Here is a 12,187-nt window from a genome sequence, read left to right as displayed (position 1 = left end):
AACATATAACATGCATTCTTTTCTGTGCAGGGATTTACCTAATTATGTTTTCCTTGGGCTAGTAGCAAAGTTTGTTTATATTCTCTGAGTGCGTCATATACTTGACTGAACCTTTGAAATATATGATACGCGTATATAAAATAGACACACATCTACAGATGGCACAGCCAGGGAAGGCCACAGGCTTTGGGGTAGCACAGGATGCCGGCCTAGGATTTACAGGGTCACGAACACATTCGTACGCACAAGGTCGGCACACGGGCTGCTGTACACGAGAGCGGCATTAGAGACAGAGGGGCCTCGGGGCCACCTGGACTAACCCCACCTCCGCGGCACCCTCCTGGACAAGCAGGGTGGCAAATGCTGCCCTCCTCCTGCTGAGGGTGAGGAAGAATAGAACCCTGGCAGCAAAACAAGCCCAGGATGATCCAAAGGGGAAAAAGGTGAACTTGCCACCCGTCCCACCAACTACACCTTCTCAGTAACTTCGACTCTCAGGAACAAATCCCAGGTCAAAAATCCTTTAACTCTGGCAGCATTCAGAAGAGGTAAGCCTTTGAGAAAGCAAGAAAAAGAAAACAAAAGGCCTAGAGGCACTGTCGGGGGAGACTGGGGAGTTGGTGGCAGCCTCAGCCCTGAGAAAGGGCTCGTCACTCTGGCACCAACAGGGACTCCACGTGCTCCTGAGACCCCAGCATGAACCCCAACATGAAAGGGGGAGACTCCAGCGCGAACTGGGAGACCCCAGTGGGAATGGGGCCAACTGGCTGAGGCGTCAGGTCTCAGCTACCTAAATGTACAAAGCAAATACCCTTCATTCTCTCCAGGACACCAGGGAACGTCGGCGTGAGAGGGAAGGCAGGCCTCGTCATACTTACTTGGCGATGTGGGTGGAGGTTTGTGGAAAGCTTTCCTTTTTGCTTTCTGAAAGAAAGAAGAAATGGCATAAGGCTTGCTGAGCTCCCACAGTGGTGCATCACAAGACCCTACCATGTTCAGAAAGGGTCAGGGGTCGTGTAAGAGCAGCAAGAGGACGTGAGCTTACGGGGACGTAAGGAGGGTCCAGGAACAGGACACGCAGGGCCCGATGCAGACCCCACAAAAATGCACTCACGTCAGTGCTCAGGGCTGGGCTCTCAGAGCACAAGTTCCAATTACAGAAAACCATCGGGCCCGGGCTCCTGACGTTCAGACTGAGGGTCCCACACAAATGGCGGATCTGCCCCCACCCAAACCGCCCGCACAGCCAGCCTGGGAGCCCAGCGCACCTCTGTCCACTCAGGTGGAGGTGGTCAGATGAATCCCTGCACATAAGTCAACTGCAAAGCCCACTATGGAAGAAAGCCGAGCAAAGGGAGACCCTGTCTGGAAGGTGGTCTCCTGTGACAACCACGATGCCAAACACCCAATGGGGTCCAGATCTCACAGAACGGGGTCCAGATCTGGTTCCACTGCTTACTACGGGGTGAGTGTCCCATATCCGAGATGCCTGGGACCAAGAGTGTTTCTGATTTGGGAATATTTGCATCCATATAATGAGGTATCTTGGGGATGGGACCCAAGTCTAAACACAAAATTCATTTATGTTTCATATATACATTATACCCATAGTGCAATGGTAATTTTATATTGTGTTTTTAATAACTTTGTGCATGAAACAAAGCTTGTGTGAAGTACTTAAGGGTGGAATTTCCCACTTGTGGCCTCATGAGGGTGCTCAAAAAGTTTCCATTTTTGGAGCATTTTGGATTTTGCATTAGAGACACACAACCCGTCGTGCCGTGGCCTGGGGAAGATGCTGCCATGCTTCCAACCTTAACTTCCTCATCACCTTGCACTAGACCGAGCAGATAAGGCTACCGCGGCCAGGTCTCCTCACTTCCCCTCCAGCAGAAACATTGAGCCCCAAGTTCTGCGCGGGGGGAATTTTCCCTGGGGCTTGGTTTGGATCCCTCCTCCTCCGGGGAACATCAGAGGAGCATCCCCTGCCCTCTGTGACATGGAGGGAAAATCCTTAACTTTGCGAACAGAGGTCCCTGGAGGGAGACAGTGGAGCTGAGGCTCCCCCTTGAGTCCACAGAGCAAACGTGGAATTGAGATCTGCTGGTGCCGGGTTCGTTCTGCTGGCTGCAGGTTTGCTAGATCTGCGTCTCCAGTAAGAAAAGCTTTTTTCGCTCATACACGAGAAGAGCAATTGGCACACTTCCTTTTCTACCCAGCACAGCTTGCCAAACAAACCCAAAGCCCAGTCCGGGGCCATAGTGTGCCACTGGGCCATCGGACACCACTCCTGCCCCTCTCCTTTCCGGGCTGGGAGGCCAGGCAGCAGTTCAGCTTGGGATGGCGGCTGCCCAGGTCTGCTTTCTCCCATCGGGTCCTTCCGACGGCATTAGCAGGGGCTCTCCTCCTCCCCTCAAGTGTCAGGATGAGGGCGTGGGGTGCAGGGCAAAACCAGCTGCAGGCCAGGGACTAGCAATCTGTCTCACATGAGCCCTGCTCAGGATTCACGTCCAGATAAAAGTTTTAAAGTTATCACCACAGGTATTTAAACCTAAGGGCTGGAAACTTTTCAAACACCAAGGAGCATTCGGAATATGCATTCCAGCTCTCGACACAGTATTGTGGAGAACGGCCTATTTTACGCTTCCGAGTGCAGTCTGCAAGGGCAGCGCAACCAGCCCGAGGTCGCACGGCTGACACCCAGCGGCACTCACCGTCTCCACATCAGAGTCAAAGGTGACTGCAGACAGACTGTCATCTCCCTGGAGGAAGAGAGGCAAACACTGTAACTCGACGGCACCTGCTGGGCTTCCGACCATCACGTTTACAAAAGCGAAAACAGCCCGTCCACAGCTGCTGAAACAGAAACTCCAGAAATCCAGCTCTGAGGCCACTCAGAACACTCCAGCTGGGCAGCAGCCAGTTCCTCAGTCTCATCAGAAGGAATGGGTGGGTGGGGGGAACAAAACACAAAACGCCGCCCAGCAGGCGTGCAAATGTCTGCAAATCTAGTAACACTATTTCCCACAGAATTGTGTCTTGACAAAGAAAAACAAAACCAGTTCTTGCTGAAAGCATTTCATTTTTACATAAATGTTCTCACTCTTATTCATCTTTACATCAAAGCACAACGAATCTGTGACTGTCTCCTGGTAAGAACGGGTGAGAGTCATCTTTTAAAAAGCAAACTCGGCCTGGGCAACATGGTGAGACACTGTCTCTACAAAAAAAATCTTAAAAATTTAAAAAATAAGCCAGGCTGTGGTTGCACACACCTGTAGTCCCAGCTACTCGGGAGGCTAAGGTGGGAGGATCGCTTGAGCCTAGGAGGTCGAGGCTGCAGTGAGTCATAATCATGCCACTGCACTCCAGCCTGGGCAACAGAGCAAGACCCCAGCTGGGAAAAAAAAAAAAAAAAAAAACGAAAACCAACAAAAACCAAAACATATGCATTACAATGAGAAGGCATTTGGGCCTATAAAGGTTCTTGCCTTCTTATTCCAGTGACTTTGTCCTGGTCCAGGGAATGAAATAAGACTTGTACTGTCTGATTTCAGCACGAGGATGGCCAAAAAAAAAAAAAAAGGAAGCTTTTTGAAGACAAAAGTGTTTCTGTATTAACTCATTCACTCAAATTGAAATCCAAAAAGAGAAGCATAAAATGTTTAAAGTCCCTCGGAAGATCATATTGGTGCTTTCCAATGCGGACACTGGAAGTTAGAGCTGAATGCCCCATTATGAGCCAATAGTTCTACAGCTTGGGGTGGAGGTGATGACATTTGTGCTACCTGTCCCTGGTATAGCTGAGTCCACGCAGTATCATAATGGGATGCTACTGCGTTCTGAAAAGCAAACTTATTTTCTACAAGGCTAATAGTACATGAAGTGCCAATTTTGCTAGCAGTGTGAAACTGTATTAGAAATGCCTGGCTGCATGATAACATGGATAAGGTGCAACTAGACAGGCCAGGACACAAGTGCAATGTGACTGCATTTCGAGGGGCAAAGGAAAGACGGTGCATTCCAAATAAATGGAGCGTTTAAAAAAATCAGCCATTGACTGAAATTTTTTATATCATTTTTTATATCACCTATTTAAGGTGACCTTTTAAGACATAAACAGCATATGACAATTATAGAGAGAAGTTTTCCTTTTAGCAAAGTGTATTGAAATTATGCACAAAATTGAGGAAGGGCAGGCCGGGAACTGGACACACAGGTTAGCGGGGGATCAGAAAAGCCAAGTCAGCCCTGGGCATCACAAGGACGTGCCTGCAGAGAACAGAGGGGAAACTGCTGAAAACTGTCTAGAAAAGCAGCAGCAACTTTCTCTGTAAACATCTGTCATTATTCCTTGCTGTGAATAAAATCTTGAAGACTTTTTGAATGACCTGAAATTCAACAAAGGAATGAGATTTTATGTGTAGTAAACAAAATGCATTGATCTCACCCACAACGGCTGCCCTCTCCACCACTCCCTTCCAGCCGTGCTGCCTCCAGCCTGCCGGTCATAGTGCAGGGAAGAGGTGAAACGCAGTCAGGACCGGAAATCACACAACAGCCCAAGGATCCATGACACCAGTCAGCAGAATACAATCATACACAGCGCACACACACACACGCATGCACACACACACACGCACACACACTCATGCACGCACCTAAAATCACACAACAGTCCAAGGATCCATGACTGCAGTCAGCAGAATACAACCATACACAGCACACACACACACACACACACTCACACACATGCACACATGCACTCACACACACACACGCACACACACGCACACATGCACTCACACAAAATGGCCAATCTGTTCCGCCTCCTTCAAGCACTATCTGAGGTTGCCACTTATTTCCACAGTAGGTTAAGCTCAATCAGCCTGTGTCAGGGTGGTTGTAACAGAAGAAATGGGGTGGTTTCACACTGAAATTAACTGTCTCAGTTTGGGAGGCTGGAAGTCCAGAATCAAGGTGTTGGCAGGGCCAGGCTCCTAACAGACAGGAGAGCGAGGCAGAAGATCAACGAGGAGTTAGAAAAACTTGATCAGCAGACACTAAAAACCTAACAGACATTTACAGAACACCCCACTCAACAACAGCACAATACACATTCTACTCAAGTGTACATTAAACATAAACCAGACCATAGGCCACAAAAAAGCCTCAATGAATTAAAAGAGAAAATCATTCAAAGTATATTCTTCTACAACAAGGAAAACTAGAAATCAACAAAAGAAAGGAATTCACAAATGTATAGATTTTTTTTTTTTTGAGACAGAATCTCGCCTTGTCGCCCAGGCTGGAGTGCAGTGACACAATCTCGGCTCACTGCCACCTCCACCTCCCGGGTACAAGCGATTCTCCTGCCTCAGCCTCCTGAGTAGCTGGGATTACAGGTGCCGCCACCACGCCCGGATAATTGTTGTATTTTTAGTAGAAATGGGGTTATATTCACTATGTTGGCCAGGCTGGTCTCAAACTCCTGACCTCAGGTGATCCACCCGCCTCAGCCTCCCAAAGTGCTGGGGCTATAGGTGTGAGTCACTGTGCCTGGCCTGGATATTAAACAACAAATTCCTAAATAATCAATGGGTCTAAGACGAAATCACAAGGGAAATTTAAAAATATCTTAGATGAGTGAAATTTTTTGTTTTTTTGAGGTGGAGTCTTGCTCTGTTGCCCAGGCTGGGGTGCAATAGCATGATCTTGGCTCACCACAACCTCCGCCTCCCAGCTTAAAGCAATTCTCCTGCCTCAGCCTCCTCAGTAGCTGGGACTACAGGTGTGCACCACCATGTCAGGCTAATTTTTTTTTGTATTTTTAGTGGAGACAGGGTTTCACTATGTTGGCCAGGCTGGTCTTGAACTCCTGACCTCATGATCCGCCCACCTCAGCCTCCCAAAGTGCTGGGATTACAGGCGTGAACCACTGTGCCCGGCTGATGAGTGAAATTTTTTTTTTTTTTTTTTTTTTTGAGATGGAGTCTCGCTCTCTCACCCAGGCTGGAGGGCAGTGGCGCAATCTCGGCTCACTGCAAGCTCCGCCTCCCGGGTTCACACCATTCTCCTGCCTCAGCCTCCCAAGTAACTGGGAATACAGGCGCCTGCCACCACGCCCGGCTAATTTTTTGTATTTTTAGTAGAGACGGGGTTTCACTGTGTTAGCCAGGATGGTCTCGATCTCCTGACCTCGTGATCCGCCCGCCTCGGCCTCCGAAAGTGAGTGAATTTTAAAAATCAAAATTTATGGGATGTACCTAAAGCAGGGCTCAAAGAGAAACATACAGCTGTAAATGTCTATATTTTAAAAAGATCACATCAAATAAATAACCTAATCTTCCACCTTAAAAAACAAAAGCAGGGCCGGGCGTGGTGGCTCACACCTGTAATCCCGGCACTTTGGGACTCAAAGCCCAGGAGTTCAAAACCAGCCTGGGCAATATGGAGAAACCCTGTACACACACACACACACACACACACACACACACACACAACAAAAAATTAATTAGCTGGGCATCATGGCACATGTCTGTGGTCCCAACTACACAGGAGACTGAGGTGGGAGAATCACCTGGGTCCGGGAAGTTGAGGCTGCAGTGAGCCATGATCGCACCACTGCACTCCAGGCGCAAAGAAACAAAAGCAAGCTGAGCACCTGCTCATGCCTGTAATCCCAACACTTTGGGAGGCCAAGGAGTGAGGACTGCTTGAGCCCAGAAGTTCGAGACCAGCCTGGGTGACATAGTGACACCCAGTGTTGACAAAAAATTAAAAAATTCGCCAGGCATGGTGGCACACGCCTGTAGTCCCAGCTACTTGGGAGGCCGAGGCAGGAGGATCACTCAAGCCCAGGAGTATGAGGCTGCAGGGAGCTGTGATTGTGCCACTGCTCTCTAGCATCGACAACAGAGTGAGGTTCTGTCTCTGAAAAACAAAAACAAATAATCAAAAACACAAAAGCCATGTTTAGAGGGCAATTTGTAGCTGTAAATGCCTATATTAAAAAAAAAAAAGAAAGAAAGATCTCAAGGCAATAATCCAATAATCTAAACTTTCACCTTCAGAACCAGGAGATAGAAAACTAAACTCAAAGGAAGTAAAAGAAAGGAATAAAAATTACAGTGAATAAATGAAATAGAAAATAGAAACAATAGAAAAATCAATGAAACCAAAAGTTGGTTCTTTGAAAAGATCAACAAAACTGACAAACCTTTAGCCAAGAAAAAAAACCCAGAGACACGAAATTACCAAAATACAGGGGGAAAAAAAAAAAAAGGGGGCCTCACTACTGACCTTATAGAAGTAAAGAAACACCCAGAACCACATGGTCTCGCTGGTGAATTCTATCAAACATTTAAAGAGAAATTAATACCAATGCTTCACAAACCCTTCTAAAAAACAGAAAAGAAGGAAATGCTTCCCAATTCATTCTATGAGACCTATATTACACTGATACCAAAAGCAGACAAAGAAATATCACAAGAAAAGAACACTACAGACCAACATTCTTTATGAATACAGTTGCAAAAATCCTCAACAAAATGCTAGTAGGCATGAAAAGGATTTTATATATATATATATATGTACCCTAATTGGTACTGGTATATATTTATGTGCACACACACACACACACACCCCAAGACCAAGAATGAAAGATTGGTTTAACATACAAAAATCAGTCAATATTCCATATTAATAAAATGAAGAAAAAGAAACATATGATTTTCTCAAAAGATACAGAAGGTATGTTTGACAAAATCTAACACTCATTCATGATAAAGATACTCAATAATCTATGAAGAGAATTTCCTCAGCCTAATAAATGGCATCTACAAAAATCCAGGGCAACACAATATTTAACAGAGGAAGACGGAATGTTTCCCTTCTAATAGCAGCAGCAAGACAAGGCTGTCCTTTCTCATCACTTCAATTCAAATTATACTTGAGTCTTTTGCCAGGACATTAATGTGAGAAAAGTAAATAAAAGACATTCAGATTGAAAAGAAGGAAGTAAAACTATCTCTATTCACAGACAACATGATTTTATACATAGAAAATCCTAATGAATCTACTAAAAAACTAGTAAACATAATAAATGAGTTCAGCAAGTTTGCAGGATATGAGATTCATATAAAAATATTATTGTAAGGCCGGACGTGGTGGCTCAGGCCAGTAATCCCAGCACTTTGGGAGGCCAAGGCGGGTGCATCACGAGGTCAGGAGATCGAGACCATCCTGGCTAACAAGGTGAAACCCCGTGTCTACCAAAAATACAAAAAAATTAGCCGGGCATGGTGGCGGGCGCCTGTAGTCTCAGCTACTCGGGAGGCTGAGGCAGGAGAATGCTATGAACCCGGGAGGCGGAGCTTGCAGTGAGCCGAGATCGCGCCACTGCACTCCAGCCTGGGCAACAGAGCAAGACTCCATCTCAAAAAAAAAAAAAAAATTATTGTATATATTAGCAGTAAATAAGCTGAAATGAAATTAAGAAAATTCAATATACAATAACATCAAAAAGCATAAAATACTTAGGAATAAATTTAACAAAAGCATAGGCTTTGTACATTGAAAAATATAAACCATTGCTGAAAGAAATCAAAGATCTACATAGGGCTGGGAGCAATGGCTCACGCCTGTAATCCCAGCACTTTGGGAGGCCAAGGCAGGTAGATAACCTGAGGTCAGGAGTTAGAGACCAGCCTGGCCAACATGGTGAAACCCCACCTCTACTAAAAATAGAAAAATTAGCTGGGTGTGGTGGCAGGCGCCTGTAGTCCCAGCTACTGAGGAGGCTGAGGCAGGAGAATCCTTTGAACCTGGGAGGCAGAGACTGCAGTGATCTGAGATGGCATCATTGCACTCCAGCCTGGGTGGCAAAGCGAGACTGTGTCTTTTTTTTTTTTTTTTTTTTTTGAGACAGAGTCTCACTCTGCTGCCAGGCTGGAGTGCAGTGGCACGATCTTGGCTCGCTGCAAGCTCCACCTCCTGGGTTCACGCCATTCTCCTGCCTCAGCCTCCCAAGTAGCTGGGACTACAGGCGCCCGCCACCACGCCCGGCTAATTTTTTGTATTTGTAGTAGAGATGGGGTTTCACTGTGTTAGCCAGCATGGTCTCGATCTCCTGACCTCATGATCTGCCCACCTCAGCCTCCCAAAGTGCTGGGATTACAGGCATGAGCCGCCGTGCCCGGCCAAGAGACTCTGTCTTAAAAAAATAATAAAAAATAAATAATATACATAAATTATTTTTATAATCACAACAAGCAGTTTTGTTCTTAAAGATGAAGAAGCAGTAACTGAAGGCCAGTGTAGACAGGCAGGCCCTCCAGATGAGACAGGACGTGGTGCCCTGGGGAACAAGCAGGCAACTTCAGCTGCTCCAAGTTGGCCAGCAGCACCAAGCCCCTACTGCGGGTGCAGCTGTGCTGAACCCTGTGGTCTCCTTAGGAGGAAGCAAGGTGAGCACAGTTCCCTTGATGTGAAACCTTCCAAAGGCTTCCTCTGTTTCTCCAATAAAATCCAAATTCCCTGCATGGCCAGCAGGACTCCCCATAGTCAGGCTCATGCCCATCTTCTGCTCAGTCTCCTTGCCCGCGTCCCAACGGGCTTTCTTTTTTTTTGAGACAGGGCCTCACTCTGTTGCCCAGGCTGGAGGGCCGTGATATGATCACAGTTCACTGTAGCCTCCACCTCCTGGGCTCAAGCGATCCTCCCACCTCAGCCTCACTCTGTCTCTCAGGCCTTGGAGGGCCATGATCACAGTTCACTGTAGCTTCCACCTCCTGGGCTCAAGCGATCCTCCCACCTCAGCCTCCTGAGTAGTTGGGACTACAGGCAGGCACCACCACAGCTCGGCTAATGTGATGGTTTTTTGTAGAGATGGGGTCTTGCGATGTTGCCCAGGCTGGTCTGGAACTCTTGGCCTCAAGCGATCCTCCCATCTCGGCTTCCCAGAGTGCAGGGACTACCGGGGGACTACCGGCCTGAGCCACGGCTCCCGGCCATATGGGCCTGTTTCATTTTCTGCACAGCACTTCTCACTTTCTGACACGATCTTAATTACCTGTTTATTACCTTGTCCCTCCGCCCCCCCCCCCCCCCCCACTGGAATGCAGCTTATTCCCGTGTCTCTAACACACAGTAGATATTTACCGGGCAAAGTAACTAACCTAAGGCTCATGCACCCTCGCCCTGGGGAGTACATCGGGCCCCACCCTCCTCCAGGAAGCCTCCTCTGACCAAGCTGGGTTCCCAGACCCTGGGGCTGCCTCCCTCCCACCCCGAAGGCTTGGGGCCACACGGGATCCGTGGATCCCGCCTTAGATCGGGGGTGCCCGGAGGCACTTACACCGTGAGCTCCGTCACCTGCGGGCCGCAGACTCGCAGGCGCCCAGAGGCGAGGGCGCGGCGTCCCGGAGAGCTTCCTGGAAGCGGCGGCCTCTGCGAAAGCGGGCGCGGGCGAGGCTGCAGGCGGCGCGGGGCCTGCAGCGCGCTCTTGTGCGGTAACAATAATGGCAGCTGTCACCCGGCCGTGCGCCCCGTCCTCACGCCCCGGGCCGGCCCCTGCGCGGGGCCCCGAGGCTGCGGGCGACGGAGACGAGCCGAGGCCTCGCGGACGCCCGCCCGGCGTCGCCCCCTCGCCCGTTCTTACCGTGTCCAAGGCCGGCTCCCCGGTGCCCAGGAACATGGTGGCGGCGCTGCCCGGCCGCCCCTCAGGGTTGCTGGCTCGGGCGTCCGGGTCTGGGAATCCGCGGGCAGCCCTGGCCGCCCGCAGCCTCGGGGCCTTCCCTGGCGCCGGCCCGCGACCCCGCTGCCATGGCAACCAGGCCGCCGACCTACCCAGCCGGGTAAGCGACCTGCGTTCCCCCTGGGGCGACCATGCGCGTGCGCAGAGTCCGCGGGCGCCGGCCGGCCGACCAGGAGCGCTCCCGGAGTTCCCGGGGCGGAGCGCGGGGGCTGAGAGGGGGAAAAAAACCGGCCCGGCGCAGTGGCTCGCGTCTGTAATCCCAACACTATGGGAGCCTAAGGCAGGAGATTCAATTGAGCCCAGGAGTTTGATACCAGCCTGGGCAATGTAGCGAGACCCCGTCTCTCGAAAAATAAAATAAAAATAAAAGCCAGGCATGCTGGTGCACGCCTATAGTCCCAGCTCCTCGGGAGGCTGAGGTGGGAGGATCGCTTGGAGCCCAGGAGGTCGAGGCTGCAGTGAGCTATGATTGCACCACTACAGTCCAGCCTGGGCGACAGAGCAAGACCCTGTCTCAATCAAACAAACACACATAATAAACTTTCGTTTGCTTTCAGGGTCTCACCCAGGGCGCTTTGCTCTACGTGCTCCCTGTGCATAAGTACCTCTTGCCACTCTCCCACCCTTGGGCTTCGCAAACTTTTTGCCCTTCTCTTATCTAATTATAGAGCCAGCGCCTATCTACGACCTTTTATCTGTGATTCTGAATTCCACAAACTTCCGAAAGCCCTTCACAACTCATTTGAAGGCCAGACCAGTCCTAACCTCAACTCTCCGGGAGGAAAACTCTGAGCTGAGGCTATTTATAGTGCTTATTTATCCCACGGGGTGTACATGAGTGAGTTTCACTGAATAACTTCTTTTTTTTTTTTTTTTGACGGAGTCTTGCTCTGTGGCCCAGGCTGGAGTGCAGTGGTGCGATCTCCGCTCACTGCAACCTTTGCCTCCTGGGTTCAAGCGATTCTCCTGCCTCAGCTACCCGAGTAGCTGGGACTACAGGTGCGTGCCACCACGCCCAGCTAATTTTTGTATTTTTAGTAGAGACGGGTTTCACCACCTTGACAAGGATGGTCTCGCTCTCTTGATCTCGTGATCCGCCCGCCTCCACCTCCCAAAGTGCTGGGATTACAGGCGTGAGCCACTGCACCCGGCCCTGAATAACTATTAATACGTTTAATTATGGGGTGTGTGTCACACTCTGCTGTAATCTCATATTTAATGTACATGTGCCATGTCACATTTCTAAAATCTGAACAGTTCTGAATTCTGAAAAAACATTTGTCCCCAAAAGTTTGAGATAAGAAATTGTGGACCTGGGCCAGGCACGATGGTGGCTCACGCCTGTAATCCCAGCACTTTGGGAGTCTAGGGTGGGTGGATCACTTGAGGTCAGGAGTTTGAGACCAGCCTGACCAATATGGTGAAACTCTG

The 12,187-nt window shown here is 49.2% G+C and overlaps 1 protein-coding gene across 14 annotated transcripts in view, besides 7 other annotated features; it reads right to left on the bottom strand.

Annotated features, from left to right (window-relative positions):
- The window catches only part of IQCE (IQ motif containing E), a 55,750-nt gene extending 44,851 nt beyond the window's left edge, over positions 1-10,899 (bottom strand). For 3 of the 14 annotated variants that reach the window (NM_152558.5, NM_001287499.2, XM_011515242.2), the window contains exons 1-3: positions 10,661-10,899; positions 2,715-2,762; positions 879-924 (exon numbers count right to left, since the gene is read on the bottom strand). In NM_152558.5, coding sequence (NP_689771.3) covers positions 879-924; positions 2,715-2,762; positions 10,661-10,696 — 130 coding nt within the window. In that variant the 5' untranslated portion in view covers positions 10,697-10,899. Of the gene's footprint in view, positions 1-878; positions 925-2,714; positions 2,854-10,357; positions 10,464-10,660 lie in introns of those variants that run through there. The other 11 variants (NM_001410865.1, NM_001287500.2, XM_047420083.1 and 8 more) reach the window with 5 other exon arrangements.
- Positions 1,831-2,432: an enhancer, noted in NCBI's record as "H3K4me1 hESC enhancer chr7:2607080-2607681 (GRCh37/hg19 assembly coordinates)". NCBI's record gives its function as "activates a minimal SCP1, AML or CMV promoter by ChIP-STARR-seq in naive H9 embryonic stem cells {active_cell/tissue: H9 hESC(naive)}" and the evidence as "EXISTENCE:reporter gene assay evidence [ECO:0000049][PMID:30033119]".
- Positions 2,433-3,035: an enhancer, noted in NCBI's record as "H3K4me1 hESC enhancer chr7:2606477-2607079 (GRCh37/hg19 assembly coordinates)". NCBI's record gives its function as "activates a minimal SCP1, AML or CMV promoter by ChIP-STARR-seq in naive H9 embryonic stem cells {active_cell/tissue: H9 hESC(naive)}" and the evidence as "EXISTENCE:reporter gene assay evidence [ECO:0000049][PMID:30033119]".
- Positions 2,447-2,616: an enhancer, noted in NCBI's record as "active region_25538". NCBI's record gives its function as "activates an Ori minimal core promoter by ATAC-STARR-seq in GM12878 lymphoblastoid cells {active_cell/tissue: GM12878}" and the evidence as "EXISTENCE:reporter gene assay evidence [ECO:0000049][PMID:35858748]".
- Positions 2,817-2,866: an enhancer, noted in NCBI's record as "active region_25537". NCBI's record gives its function as "activates an Ori minimal core promoter by ATAC-STARR-seq in GM12878 lymphoblastoid cells {active_cell/tissue: GM12878}" and the evidence as "EXISTENCE:reporter gene assay evidence [ECO:0000049][PMID:35858748]".
- Positions 3,147-3,326: an enhancer, noted in NCBI's record as "active region_25536". NCBI's record gives its function as "activates an Ori minimal core promoter by ATAC-STARR-seq in GM12878 lymphoblastoid cells {active_cell/tissue: GM12878}" and the evidence as "EXISTENCE:reporter gene assay evidence [ECO:0000049][PMID:35858748]".
- Positions 10,218-10,287: a silencer, noted in NCBI's record as "silent region_17881". NCBI's record gives its function as "represses an Ori minimal core promoter by ATAC-STARR-seq in GM12878 lymphoblastoid cells {active_cell/tissue: GM12878}" and the evidence as "EXISTENCE:reporter gene assay evidence [ECO:0000049][PMID:35858748]".
- Positions 10,508-11,017: a silencer, noted in NCBI's record as "silent region_17880". NCBI's record gives its function as "represses an Ori minimal core promoter by ATAC-STARR-seq in GM12878 lymphoblastoid cells {active_cell/tissue: GM12878}" and the evidence as "EXISTENCE:reporter gene assay evidence [ECO:0000049][PMID:35858748]".

The sequence above is a fragment of the Homo sapiens genome, chromosome 7 (assembly GCF_000001405.40).
Source record: "Homo sapiens chromosome 7, GRCh38.p14 Primary Assembly".
Taxonomy (NCBI): Eukaryota; Metazoa; Chordata; class Mammalia; order Primates; family Hominidae; genus Homo; species Homo sapiens.
The sequence above is the reverse complement of the archived record's forward strand: the minus strand, read 5'-3'. Positions and strand labels throughout refer to the sequence as shown.